Source organism: Homo sapiens, chromosome X (assembly GCF_000001405.40).
Source record: "Homo sapiens chromosome X, GRCh38.p14 Primary Assembly".
NCBI lineage: Eukaryota > Metazoa > Chordata > Mammalia > Primates > Hominidae > Homo > Homo sapiens.
Window position 1 is genome coordinate 134,925,980 of NC_000023.11, and position 14,878 is coordinate 134,940,857.

The 14,878-nt window shown below is 42.9% G+C and overlaps 1 annotated feature.

Moving 5' to 3' along the window:
• Positions 8,046-8,246: a silencer, noted in NCBI's record as "peak7431 fragment used in MPRA reporter construct". NCBI's record gives its function as "represses an SCP1 promoter by STARR-seq MPRAs in K562 erythroleukemia cells {active_cell/tissue: K562}" and the evidence as "EXISTENCE:reporter gene assay evidence [ECO:0000049][PMID:32103011]".

Genomic DNA, 14,878 nt, shown 5'->3' on the forward strand with positions numbered 1-14,878 from the left:
CCCATCGATGGCCCAAGGTCTGAGGAGTGCGGATTCACTGAGTGCTGGACTGGTGGGCAGTTCCGCCTGTGGCCCCTGTGCAGGATCCACTAGGTGAAGCCAGCTGAGCTCCTGAGTCTAGTGGGGACTTGGAGAACCTTTGTCTAGCTAAGGGATTGTAAATACACCAATCAGCACCCTGTGTCTAGCTCAAGGTTTGTAAATGCACCAATCAGTGCTCTGTGCCTAGCTAATCTAGTGGGGACTTGGAGAACTTTTGTGTCTAGCTCAGGGATTGTAAACACACCAATCAGCACCCTGTCAAAATGGACCAATCAGCTCTCTGTAAAATAGGCCAATCAGCAGGATGTGGGTGGGGCCAGATAAGAGAATAAAAGCAGGCTGCCTGAGCTCAAGTGGCAACCTGCTTGGGTTGGCTTCCACGGTGTGAAAGCTGTTCTCTTTTGGTCTTTGCAATAAATCTTGCTGTTGTTCACTTTTTGGGTCTGCACTACCTTTACGAGCTGTAACACTCACTGTGAAGGTCTGCAGCTTCACTCCTGAGGCCAGTGAGACCACGAACCCACCAGAAAGAAGAAACTCTGAACACGTGTGAACATCAGAAGGAACAAACTCCAGACACTCCGCCTTTAAGAACTGTAACACTCACCACGAGGGTTCGCGGCTTCATTCTTGAAGTCAGTGAGACCAAGAACCCACCAATTCCGGATACACCACCATCTCCCAATTATGCTTCTTGCCCTAATTCTCTGCTTGTCCTATTACTTGAAGTTCCACTCTTCCCTCAGCAACCAAAAACTTCTATCATGCCTTTTCTGGAATGGCTGCTATATAACTATGACGTACCTTTATATCCTCAACACCTTTTATGAGCATTTTTCCACCTCCTTAGTGGAAATCTGATTTTCCTCTGAGAACACCATTTCCTCTGTAGCCCCGTTCAATGGTAGCTACTTAATCTCTCAGCACTCCACCTTCCATAGTCTGGGAGGTGGGGTTGGTGTCTTCCACACTGGGGAATGCCACTTTCAAACCATTACTCCTTCCTTTGAGTTACATGCTGTTTGGCTATGATAATGCTTCCCCATCTTGGTCCTTGTTATCTACTGAACTCCTGGCCACTCCTGTGTATTCACTGGAGACTTTAGCAAGTGGCTTTTAGTCTTGCTGTCTACTGTAAGTCCTGCTGCCATCATTCTGGGGGACTTAAGTGTCCACATGGTCAACCCACCCATTAACCTGGCCATTCTGTCCGTTGACCTAATTTTTTTTTTTTTTTTGAGATAGAGTCTCATTCTGTTGCTCAGGCTGGAGTGCAGTGGCGTGATCTCAGCTCACTGCAAGCTCTGCCTCCCGGGTTCATGCCATTCTCCTGCCTCAGCCTCCTGAGTAGCTGGGACTACAGGCGTCCGCCACCATGCCCGGCTAATTTTTTGTATTTTTAGTAGAGACGGGGTTTCACCGTGTTACTCAGGATAGTCTCAATCTCCGGGTCTCGTGATCCACCCTCCTTGGCCTCCGAAAGTGCTGGGATTATAGGCGTGAGCCACTGCGCCCAGCCTTACCTCCTAATTTCTAATGACCTTCTCCTCCACACAGCCACCCACTTCAACTGTTGCACCCTAGACCTTATAAACAGCAGAAACTTACCCTACCTAATTCAAGCTTGTCCAATCCATGGTCCATGGGCTGCATGCAGCCCAGGATGGTTTTGAATGCAGCCCAAGACAAATTTGTAAACTTTCTTAAAATGTTATTTTTTTGTGATTTTTTGTAGCTCATCTGCTGTCTTAGTGTATTTTATGTGTGGCTGAAGACAATTCTTCTTCCAGTGTGGCCCAGGGAAGCCAAAAGATTGGACACCCCTGCCCTAATTTGAAATTCTACTTTCTGATCAAACCTCCCCGTATGCCATTTTCCCTTCAATTACTCCACTATACCTGTTTTTTTTTTTTTCTTCGACGAGGAGATACTTGGCTGGCTATGAACACTAATTCTGTTCCTCTTTGATGCTAACAGAAACCCACTTTTTTTCCACGATCCATCTTTTAGGGAATGTGATTCTATTTATCAGCTTTGGGGTCAGTCCTGATTAATCTAAAATGACAATTTTCAAATTGTGGTCCATATTGGTCCCTTTCCAAGGTTTCATAAAGTCAAAACAACTTGCAAAATAATAGTCATTATTTGCCTTTTTTTTTCTTTGTGGGCAATTTCACTGATGGTGTAAAAGCAATGGTAAGTAAAACTGCAGGTGCACTGGCACACAAATCAAGACAGTAGCATCAGCCTACTAATGGTCATTATACTTTTCCCCACCACACACTTGAAGAAAGAAAAAAAATCAAATTTTACCTGATTAAGCAGTGAAAATTACTAATTTTATTAAATATCAACTTTTGAGTACAGGTGTTAATATTCTGTGTGACAAAATAGGAAGTATGCATAAACCACTCTGTATACAAAAGTATGATGGTTATCTCAAAAATAAAAACAACTTGTTATTTGAGTTGCAAACTGAACTAGCTGATTTTGTCATGGAACTCCATTTTTACTTGAAAGAATAGCTGACAGACAAACTATGGTTATTTAGACTTGAGTATCTGGCAGATTATTTTTCATAAGTGAATGAAGTGAGCTTGTCACTTTAAAAAAACAACCTTTGTTCTTCACTGCTTTCAACTGTGACAAATGCTCCTGAGCAATCAAAGAAGATGAAAAACAAAAAAATCCATTAGATTTAAGAACATGAAGGTACTGCTCACCTTCTCAAAAGATTTCACTAGAATGGTGTGGGCGGAATACAGATTAAGGTAGATTGAGAAATGAGTGGGAAGTGAAAAAAATGGAAGCAGTAAGAATAGACAACTCTTTGAAGAAGTTTAACAATGAAGGGGAAAAGGATAGAATGGTAGCTGGAAGGAGGAGTGGGATCAAGGAAAATTATCCTAAAGATGTGAGAGACTTGAGCTTGTATAAACAATGATGGAATGGAGAAAATATTAGGTTGGTGCAAAAGTAAGTGCGGCTTTTTCCAATTAAAACTAATGGCAGGCTGGGCGCGCTGGCTCACGCCTGTAATCCCAGCACTTTGGGAGGCCAAGGCAGGCTAATCACGAGGTCAGGAGTTTGAGACCAGCCTGGCCAACATGGTGAAAACCCGTCTCTACTAAAAATACAAAAAATTAACTGGGCGTAGTGGCAGGCGCCTGTAATCCCAGCTACTCGGGAGGCTGAGGCAGGAGAATCATTGAACCTGGGAGGCAGAGGTTGCAGTGAGCCGAGATCGTGCCACTACGCTCCGGTCCAGGAGACAGAGTGAGACTCTGTCTCCAAAAAAAAAAAAAAAAGTAAAGGCAAAAATCGCAATTACTCTTGCACCAACCTAATAAAAAGGGAGTGACCAAAGATACAGAAAAGGGAGAGAATAGTGGGTAAGATTCAGGAGAAGAGTTTGGGATCTGGGGCTCAGTTGATGATGATGGTAGTGGTGGTGGTCGTGGTGTGTGTTTGTGTGGATTGAGTAGGGGTGGTAGAAGTTTTGAAGAAGGTGGAAAAGGTAAATTGTCATTGTAGAAAGTGGGAGAGCAAACAGACCAAAGAAACAAAGTAGTCTTGCTAGGCAGTGTTGATCTTGAGCTCATTCTCTCCCCTTGCTTCTCCCTCCCTCTATAAGTTGCTGGTTTCCAGATCTGTACCTCTAGTCCATGCACTCACTGCCTCTTGATACCAGTGGGCTAGGTGAGATCCCCGAACACTGGTGGGACCTTGACCCTGCCCGTTGTCCAAGCTCTTGACTGTGTCTTGAGAAAGAATTCAAGGACAAGTCAGAAAATAGTGAAAGCACACTCTCAAGAAAGGGGCGTGCAAGTGTACTCAAGAGAGTCGCACCCAATAGGCTTTGGGGCTTCTATTTTTATGGGTTTCTTTAACCAAGGGATGAAATATTCATGAAGACTTCTGGAAAAAGGTGAAGATTTCTCAGAACTGTGGCACCACCCATTTTTACACCAAATATGGGTGTTCCCAGAACTGTTATGGTGCTGGTGGATGTGAGATTATGTTAATGAGCATATAGTGAGATCCTATAGGTCAAATCCAGGGCCATGTTGGGTCCAGTCATTCTTAGCCAGCTTGGCCCACATCCTGTTATTCAGGGTCTTATGGGTCCTTAGCATATGCAGCTGTTTCAACAGTTTCCTTTTACTAGTCATGTAAAACTGCTGCCTGAAATTTTCTATTCTCCTGCGACCACCTTATATTATTCCTGTCCCACTCTGACCTCTAGACCCTCATATCTAACTAACAACTGGATATCTCCACTTGGGTGTCACACAAGTGTTTCACTCACAACATCCAAAAGCGAACTCGTGATCTTCTCTCCCAAATCAGGTCTTCTCTTAGTGTTCCTTATGCCAGTGAATGATGTTATCATCCATCCTGTTTTACAAGACAGCACCCTAGGAGTCATCTTGTTTTGTCAATTTTCTTCTCCCTCTATATTCAACCAATTACCAAGTCCTATTCATTCAGTTTCCTTCACAAATCTTAAATCTATCCATATCATTCATTACCCCTACTACCACTTTAATTCAGGCCAGTATTATCATCTGCACTACTGCTATATCCTCCTACCTTCCTCTCCCACCCTTTTATTTTGTTATAAGCAGTCTGAGTGATCTTTTTCAAAAGCAAATATGTCACACCTCTATTTAAAACCCTTTAAGAGCTTTTCATTGCCTCTAGGATAAAGAGCAAAATCTGTAGCTCTTCCTCTTTCCTTCCGTCTGCACCTCCACCCTCTGTCACACGGCTCATATTCCCAACCCTTCATCCTTCCCTACGTTATCTTTTTTTTTTTTCCATAATCACCTTCTTCTTCTTCTCCTTTTTTTTTTTTTTTTAGGGTTTTGCCATGCTGTCCAGGCTGATCTCGTTGAACTCCTGGCCTCAAGGGATCCCCCCACTTTGGCCTCCCAAAGTGCTGGGATTACAGGTGTGAGCCACCACACTCGGCCTCCATAATCACTTTCTAACAGTCTATATACTTTATTCGGACTATTATTTGTTGTCTGTCTCCCTCCCTCCTCTAGAATGTAAGCTGCATGAGTCCATGGATCTTTGTTTTGCACACAGCTATATCGCTAGTTTGCACCAAATTTGCCCCCTCAAGCCTGCCCCCCACCCCGCCAAAATTCGTATGTTTAAGTCTTAACGCCCAGTACCTCAGAATGTGACTATATTTGACATAGGGTCTTTAGGAGGTAATTAAGTAAAATGAAGTCATTAGTATGGGTCATAATTCGATCTGACTGGTGTCCTTATAAGAAGAGATGAGGGCTGAGCGTGGTGGCTCGTGTCTGTAATCTCAGCACTTTGGGAGGCCAAGGCAGGTGGATCATCTGAGGTCAGGAATTTGAGACCAGCCTGACCAATATGGTGAAACCCCGTCTCTACTAAAAATACAAAAATTAGCCGGGCATGGTGGAGTGCACTTGTAGTCCCAGCTACTCGGGAATTGCTTGAACCCGGGAGGCAGAGGTTGCAGTGAGCTAAGATTGTGCCACTGCACTCCAGCCTGGGCAACAGAGTGAGACTCCATCTCAAAAAGAAAAAAAAAAAAAGAGATGAGGACACAGACACATATAGAGGGAAGATCATGTGAAGACACAGGATGAAGGTGGCCATCTACAGGCCAAAGAAAGAGGCCTCAGAAGAAACCAACCGTACTGACACCTTGATCTCAGACGTCAGCCTCTAGGACTGTGAGAAAATAAATTTCTGTTGTTTAAGCCACCTGGTCTGTGGTACCTTGTTACTGGGCAGCCCTGACAAACTAATACACTCCCAAACACCTAGGACAGCTCCCAGCGCATAGTAAGCACTCAGCAAATATTTGCTAAAAGACTAGATAAATGTGAGGCTGTTTTGGAAAACTTTCAAACTGGTTTTTTCCTCTGCTTTCACACCACCACAGCAATCATCACAACAGAAGAAGAATTCTATGACCAAAAGTGGTGGGGGGGTTCCCCCACACACTAAGTCCTCCAATTGAATTCCAACACTCTCTACCTGGAGATACTGTCAGATCCCACAAAGGGAGGGCTCGGTCTCCAAGGCTGCCCCTCCACACACACTAGGTGCAAGTCCAAGCCTCCAGAACTTCTGACTGACTGGTTTAAGTTGGGGTTCCCACAATCACCTCTTTGGGTTCCATTAATTTGCTGAAGCAGCTCAGAGAACTCAGGAAACAAGTTTACTGGTTTATTATGAAGGGTATTGAAAAAGATACAGGTAAAGAGATGCATAGGGCAAGGTATGGGGCAAGGGGCGCGGGGCTTCTACGATCTCCCTGGGTGCAGCACCCTCCAGGAACCTTTATGTGTTCAGCTATCGGGAAGCTCTCCAAACCCAGTCTTCTTGGGTTTTGACGGACGTGTCATTATGTCAGCATTCCTTCCCCTAAGGTATGTGGCAAGACTCTGTCAGGAGAGGGTCTTAAGATCCATAATCAGAAAAGTGGGGGAAGGATTCGAGTTCTGCCTTGCGGCAGGTGAAAGGAGAGTGGGAGAAGATCAGATTCTGTTTCCTGAGGCCAGCTTCTGAGGCCTAGCACACCCAATATTATAACAAGAGTGTAACAAGGGCTATGGGAGTTATGAGCCAAGAACCATGGGCGAAAACCAATATATATATGTACATCATAACACCGCAGAGGCCCTCCTTGATCTGGCCCCTGCTGTTGTCTCCCAACATCCCCTGCAACATTTCCCTTTGATCTCTCAACTCTATCCAAACAGGACTTTTCCGAAGTCCTGAAACATGACTTGCTTTCCCCACTCAGAACCTTTACATACTGTGCTCTCTGTCCCGGAGTGCTCTCCCCATCATCCCACCAGCCCTCCCCCACACCAGCACCACAGTTTGGCATGATTTATCCTTCAGGTCTCAAATGAAATTCAAAAAAATATTTTCTCAAGCAGATTAATTGGCTCTCAAATGAGGTTAGTTAGGCCTTTGTGTTCTGCTCTCCCATCTATTCATCTCTTCTCTGTGTGTACGTTGCTTAGAAGGAATGTTGTGTTGGTTTGGAAGAATGACTGATAAATTACTCAGAGGAGGGAGTAAGACCCACAGTGAGACATAAGGAAAGTAATTTTTTCTCTTGAGTGGGGTGCAGATAAAAGGAAGGAGAGAATAAAAGCTTCAGATTCATCTGCTATAACTTGTTTTTGTTGTTGTTGTTGTTGTTGTTTTTTGTTTTTTTTTTTTTTGAGACAGGGTCTCTGTCTCCCAGGCTGGAGTGCGGTGGTGCCATCACGGCTCACTGCAGCCTCGACCTCCTGGGCTCAAGTGATTCTCCCACCTCAGCCTCCCGAGGAGCTGGGACTACCCATGCCTGGCTAATTTTTATATTTTCTGTAGAGACAGGGTTTTGGCATGTTGCCTAGGCTGGCCTCAAACTCCTGGGCTCAAGTGATCTGCCCTCCTCAGCCAGGATTACAGGCATGAGCCACCGTGCACCCACTGGTGCCCAGTCTCATCTGTTATAGTTTGACAAATACCTGGTATTGGGACCATTTCTGAGCTGTTTGTTTGAGAGACTGATGGAAGATATTGAGATAAGTTTTAACTACACTTTTTTTCTAAACAAGGAAAGGGTCTAGCACTGTGATTTCTGCTTGTTGTGGGGTCCTATCATTTATGGAACTTTCTTATATCTTTTATATTTTTTTTGAGACAGAATCTCGCTTTGTTGCCCAGGCTGGAGTGCAGTGGCATGATCTCGGGTCACTGCAACCTCCGCCTCCCGGGTTCAAGCGATTTCCAGATATTTTTTGTATTTTTAGTAGAGACGGGGTTTCACTATGTTAGTCAGGCTGGTCTCTAACTCCTGACCTCAAGTGATCCACCCGCGTCTGCCTCCCGAAGTGCTGGGATTACAGTCATGAGCCACCGCACCCAGCCCCTTTCCTATATCTTTTAACCCAACATCCACTAGCTATGACCTTCTACTCACTCCATTCTCCCTGTATTCACCCCTCCCCAGACAAACCCCACCTCCTTTCACTGTTCCAATCTGCTTCTCTCACAGCTCTCTGTCCATTTCTGTGACTGGCTGCTGGATTTGATCCAGCAGCACAGAAACCAGCAACCCAGTGAAGGTAAGATACCCACCCAGCAGCCTGGCTCAAGTTCCAGGCATACAGAGCCCTGTTTCCAATCCTGTTGGTCCTAAAAATATACCAACCCTTGGCAGGTGGCTGGGCTATTTTCAACCTTGGGGGCCGCAGGAATCAAGGGATTCGTGCCAGGTCAGGAAGCAGAAAAGCAGGCTTTCATTGGTGGGCTTCATATAGAAACAGCTGTCTTGTGGCATGAGTTCAACTGATTCTCAATTGTCTATTTACTGGCATTGCCATTTTGCTGTTTCCTTTTTAAAGCTCAATCACATTTTCCAGTTCCACCCTAAAACATGAACCTGGGATAGCAAATGCAGATATTGGGAGGGGAGGGTGAAAGTCCAGAGAAATATCTTTTTAAAACCTGTCCACCTTCATGTAGTTCTGGAATTACAGAGGAGCGCTGAAGGAACACTGAGTGACTTCTAGTTTCTCAGCAGTTTCAGGCTTAAACATCATGTCTAAAAAGTGGGTCATGGTGCCTGTTTCTGCTGGCAAAATTAAAGTACTATTATTATCCCCATTTTACAGGGGAAGAAACCTGAGGAACAGAGAGGTTAAATTACTTGTCCAAGCTCACACAACTAGGAAGTGGCAAACTCAGATCTGTCAGGTTTCAAAGCTTATGCTCTTAATCACTAGTGTTTCTGACACTGTGGTCCTCAAGTTGTCCCACAGAATGGTATTAAGTCAATGACCATCTTATAACCAAATACTGTCATGCAATTTCAGCACTAAAATTTGCATTTCTGTTTACAATCATAATGGTACCAAAGATTACTACTTTAATTCTTTTGGATCCAAGGGAAAAGAACAGAGGTAGACATAAAGTATAAGTGATATATTTCCTTCAAACGAAGCCAGATAACATCAAAGTTAATTCAGAGGAATTGTTTTAATAATGCACATGCTAATATTCAATTCACACTGGGGCAAGTGATTTCATTTTAGCAAAACAACACCATCCATTATATTAAACTAGTGTTAGTGATTTGAGTTGTATTGATTTTTTAGTTTTGTTTGCATTTAATATGTGAAATCATTCTGGATTTACAGTTGTTTAAATGCTATGAGTATAAGGAGTTTATGTCTTGTTTTATGTTATCATATATGTAAGTAATATTATAATAGAAGATCAACACTGAGGGCCTGAAATAATTATTTTCTGATGGAAAGTGTCCACACATTGTTCCTATTTGAGAATCTGCTGTACAGGGCATTGAAAACTGTAAAGAGCTGCATGACTGTCCAGGAATTCTTTTTGTTAGAATTTTGTTTTTGTTGCTGTTATCACCTTGGAGATATGTGAAGGACTCAAGGTGACCCTAACCTCCCTTAAACCACTGGCGCATGTAGGCAATAAAACTAGACATCTTTGGCATGTCTTGACTATTCAGTCTAATTACTGTATCTTGGTAATTTGTGTTTTAAGCTATTGCTAAAAGATCGGACAATTTTCTCATTTGTTTCTCCAAACAAAAAGGATGCAGTGGCAGGTCTTAAGGTGAGGAAAGAGAAAAAGGGGGATAATTTCTATTTTCTTTCACTTCCTCCAAATTGCATATCATTTTCAGCTCCTTTCAAACCTGAACGTAGTTATGAAATTGGGCAAATTGGTTCAAAATGATTGCCCACTCCCTATTCTCCAAAAAGAAAGAAATGGAATGAAATCAAAGCTCCTCACTCCATCCCCAGAGTAAAGGGAAATGTTTGATGCAGCTCAGACTGGAACTCTAATTCTGGCTTTGCAATTTAGAAGCTCTGATCCTCAGTTTCCTTACATGCAAAATAGGGATAAGATAATACTATCTTCAACCTCATAGAGCTGTAGTGAAGATTAATGTAAATGAGATAATATGTGTATATCATCTAGATGGTGCCTATCACAAAGGAGGTACTCAAAAAAACTTGATTTTTTTTTTTGAGACAGAGTCTGGAGTGCAGTGGCGCAATCTCGGCCCACTGCAACCTCCGCCTCCCGGGTTCAAGTGATTCTCATGCCTCAGCCTCCCAAGTAGCTGGGACTACAGGTGTCCATCACCACGTCTGGCTAATTTTTGTATTTTTTGTACAGACAGGGTTTCACTATTTTGGCCAGGCTGGTCTCGAACTCCTGGACTCAGGTAATCCTCCTGCCTCGGTCTCACAAACTGCTGGGATTACAAGCCTGAGCCATCACACCCGGCTGAAAAACAGTGATTATTATCATCTTCAAATCTCTCTCCCAGCAGGACTGCACAAATGTTTTATTCTTTTTTACTTTTGTAAAAATTATTTTGTTACTACTTTAATGCTTTCAGTGGAATCAACAAATGTTTTATTAACTTACTAATTCCCTCTAACAACAGAGCCTATTTTATTTTTTTTGTCCACATTCTTTCAGGGCAAACACATGGAAAAATGCTTAAGATATAATGTTAAGCCAAAAAAAAAAAAAAGGGAAACAAAAGTACGTGTACATGGAACTTACAACCAAGGCTGGGCCTCTGTCTTCCTCTTTGCTGTATCTCCAGTCCTTAGAACAATGATTGTTGCCTGGTAAGTGGTATGACTTAATAAATACCTGTGGAATGAACAAACTATGGAAAAATTTGAAAGCAGCTGAACAAGGTCAGAAGGAAGCATCTAGGAGTGAAAAATACTGGGATTGGATTAGAGCAGAAATGTGACTCTTTTCCTTCCTTCCTCCCTCCCTCTCTCCCTCCCTTCCTTCCTTCTTTCCCTCCTTCTTTCCTTTTTTTCTTTTCTCCCTTCCTTTCTTCTTTCTTTTCCTCCTTCCTTTCTTCTTTCTAAAATTTTTTAAAGTATTAAAATATATTTACAGTTGAAACATGGGAAAATGAACGTATCCTGTTTGCCTTACAGAAAAAATGCACGTTAAAAATTTCAGTCAAGCTGGCCAAAGGAGCCACAGATGTATTATTAAATTGTAATCTGGCATTATAAATTATAAGCAGGCTTTGCTGGGAATGTTCCTTGGTCCTTTTATTGCACTGTAAGGAGAAAATATTCAGAACACTTTGAAGCATTCGCACTTCAAATAAACATAAAAGAAAGGGGCAACTTGGCAATGGGTGAAATGCCATGCAGGCTTCAACATGTGGACCTAATAGAGTTGCTGTAGAGAGCTTGACAAGTAAATTTATTAGAATTTGTTCATGAAATAATTTATTTATAGTGTATGGACAATGAACCACATTCAACTTTTCTATTTAAACTCTTGGAGTTTTGAATGTACCTTGAAAGAGTTCAACTTCTTCATTTTACAGATGAGAAAAGTAATCCCAGTTTGGGGATGTGACTTCTCCAAAGTCACATTTGTATTTCTATCCCTCAGCAGCCTCATCCCAATCAATCTCCACACTTGCATAGGGCTTGAGTTCTCTTTTTTTTACTTTTGAGACAGAGTCTCACTCTTTTACCCAGGCTGGAGTGCAGTGGTGGGATCTCAGCTCACTGCAACCTCTGCCTTCCAGGTTCAAGCAATTTTCCTGTCTCAGCCTCCCAAGTAGCTGAGACTACAGGCACACACCACCAGGCCCGGCAAATTTTTGTATTTTTAGTAGAGATGGGGTCAGGCTGGTCTCGAACTCCTGACCTCATGTGATCCACCCACCTTGGCCTCCCAAAGTGTTGGGATTACGGGCGTGAGCCACCTTGCCCGGCCACCAGGTTTGAGTTTTGTTTTTCTTTTTTCTTTCCTTTTTTTTTTTTTTTTTTTTGAGATAGAGTCTTGCTCTGTCACCCAGTCTGGAGTGCAGTGGCGCGATCTCGGGTCACTGCGACCTCTGCCTCCTGAGTTCAAGCGATTCCCCTGCCTCAGCCTCCCACGTAGCTGGGATTACAGGTGCCTACCACCATGCCCGGCTAATTCGGGCTTGATTTTTCAAAGTGCATTGACACACATCTTGGTGTCTCAGGTTCTCCATGTACAAATTGGGGTTAATTATGGAAACTACCTCGTTCAAGACTACTGTGAGAATTAAATGAAATAGCCTCCAGTAAGCATTAACAATTGTTATTATCTTCTTAAATAAAAATTGTGGGAAGCCAATTGTTTTGGACTGAGATCCTGGACTAGGCCTAACAGAGCAAACCAAACCAGAATGGAGTCACTAGTTCTAGGTGCCATGTAATCAAACTGAACTTTAAAATGAGCCAACTTTCCAAAAAATAAGATATTCACAGTGGCCAATCAGAAGGGGCCCAGTTTATCTGAGCCAGTATGATAATGAAGTCCCCTCTATTCTAACCCTGTAAGGAAAGTAACTTTGAAATGAACAATTTGCTGGGTGTGGTGGCTCACACCTGTAATCTCAGCACTTTGGGAGGCCAAGGTGGGAAGATTGTTTGAGCCCAGGAGTTCCAGACCAGCCTGGGCAACATAAGGAGACCCTGTCTCTACAAAAAACTAAAAAATTAGCTGAGTGCAGTAATGCGTGCCTGTGGTCCCAGCTACTTACGAGACTGAGGTAGGAGGATTGCTTGAGCCTAGGAGGATGAGGCTGCAGTGAGCTGTGATCACACCACTGCATTCCAGCCTGGGTGACAGAGTGAGACTCTATCATTAAAAATAAATAAATAAATAAAAACAAGTGAAAAAAATGAACAATCTACTTTTTGTTCTCTATTTTTGCTTCTTTACCACTTTTCTGCCTATAAAACCAACCCTCTCTGCTCTGCTCATTGGAATTCCTTCTATTTTATGGATGGGATGCTGCCCAATTCATGAATCATTAATAAAAGCCATTTAGATCTTTTCAACTCAACTTGTTGAAAGTTTGCTTTTCGACATCATTATTGTTATAATTACTATCTTGTGGAATTTCCTCCACAGCTTTGGAAGACAGGCAGCATACGCCCTCCCATCATTTTACCTGTGAGCATATGAAAGACAGAGGGGTTAAGTGGCTCATCTAGCTTGTAAGTACCACAGTCACATCTGGAACTCTGATATTCTGCCACCCCATGCATTGATCAACTCCTTCAAGATCCTTTCCAACTCTAAAATTCTGTGGTTTCAATATAAATGAATCTCAGGGTCAGCATTTTAAAAACTTTGAGTTTTTTGTCTCAAGAAAGTAGCAAAGGGTAGGGCTCACATTAGATAGAGTCGTCCCTCTGTATCTACAGAGGATTGGCTCTAGGACCCTCATGGATACCAAAATTCTCAGATGCTCAAGTCTCTGATATAAAATGGCGTAGTATTTGCACATAACTGATGCACATCCTTCTTTATATAAACCATCTCTAGATTACTTATAATACCCAATACAATGTAAATGCTATGTAAATACATACACTGCATTGTTTAGGGAAGAATGACAACAACAACAAAAAATCTGTACATGTTCAGCACAGGCATTTTTTTTCAAATATCTTTGATTTCAAGTTGATTGAATCCACAGATGCATAACCCACAGATACAGAGGGCTGTCTGTACTAATAAATCAGTGGTGTCCCATTTAGTGCATTTAATTTATGCAGATTTAACTGTGTGGGTATGCTCTACCAATACAGGAAAATAAAAGAAATAGAAAAAGCAAATCCATTTGCCATTCCATTTAGTAAGTATATGCCACAGAATGAGCATGAGACAGGAGTAAATCAGTTGGACAGCATATATGCAAGGGCATGGATAGTATACTTTATGGGAAATTATTGGAACTTTCAAGAAATATATATATATATATATTTTTTAGACAGAGTCTTGCTCTGTTGCCCAGGCTGGAGTGCAATGGTGGCATCTCGGCCCACTGCAACCTCTGCCTCCTGGGTTTTCAAGCAATCCTCATCCCTCAGCCTCCCAAGTAGCTGGAATTACAGGCATGCACCACCAAACCTGGTTAATTTTTGTATTTTAGTAGAGACAGGCTTTTCCCATGTTGGCCAGGCTGGTCTCGAATGCTGGCCTCAAGTGGTCTGCCTGACTCGGCCTCCCAAAATGCTGGGATTACAGGTGTGAGCCACTGTGCCTAGTCCTTTCAAGAATAATTTTTTTTTCTTTTTTATTTTGAGATGGAGTCTCACTCTGTCACCCAGGCCAGAGTGCAATGGAGCAATTTCGGCTCACTGCAACATCTGCCTCCCAGGTTCAAGTGATTCTCCTGCCTCAGCCTCCAAAGTAGCTGAGACTACAGGTGCCTGCCACCACGCCCGGCTAATTTTTTGTATTTTTTAGTAGAGACGGGGTTTTGCCATGTTGGCCAGGCTGGTCTTGAACTCCTGACCTCAAGTGATCTGTCTGCCTTGGCCCCTCAAAGTGCTGGGATTACAGGCATGAGCCACTGCGTGTGGCCTGCTAGTATCTTTTTTTTTTAAACGCTTTTTTTTTTTTTTTTTTTGAGACAGAGTCTCACTCTGTCACCAAGGCTGGAGTGCAGTGGCGTGATCTCAACTCCCTGCAACCTCTGCCTCCCGGGTTCAAGCAATTCTCCTGCCTCAGCCTCCCGAGTAGCTGGGTATACATGCTCCCGCCACCACGCCTGGCTAATTTTTGTGTTTTTAGTAGAGACGGGGTTTCACCATGTTGGCCAGGCTGGTCTCGAACTCCTGACCTCGTGATTCGCCCACCTCGGCCTCCCAAAGTGTTGGGATTACAGGCATGAGCCATCGCATCTGGCCAAGAATAATTTTAATGTGATTTTTGGCTTGACATGCTGACTCTGTAACTTAACTTTCACATTAGATATGAC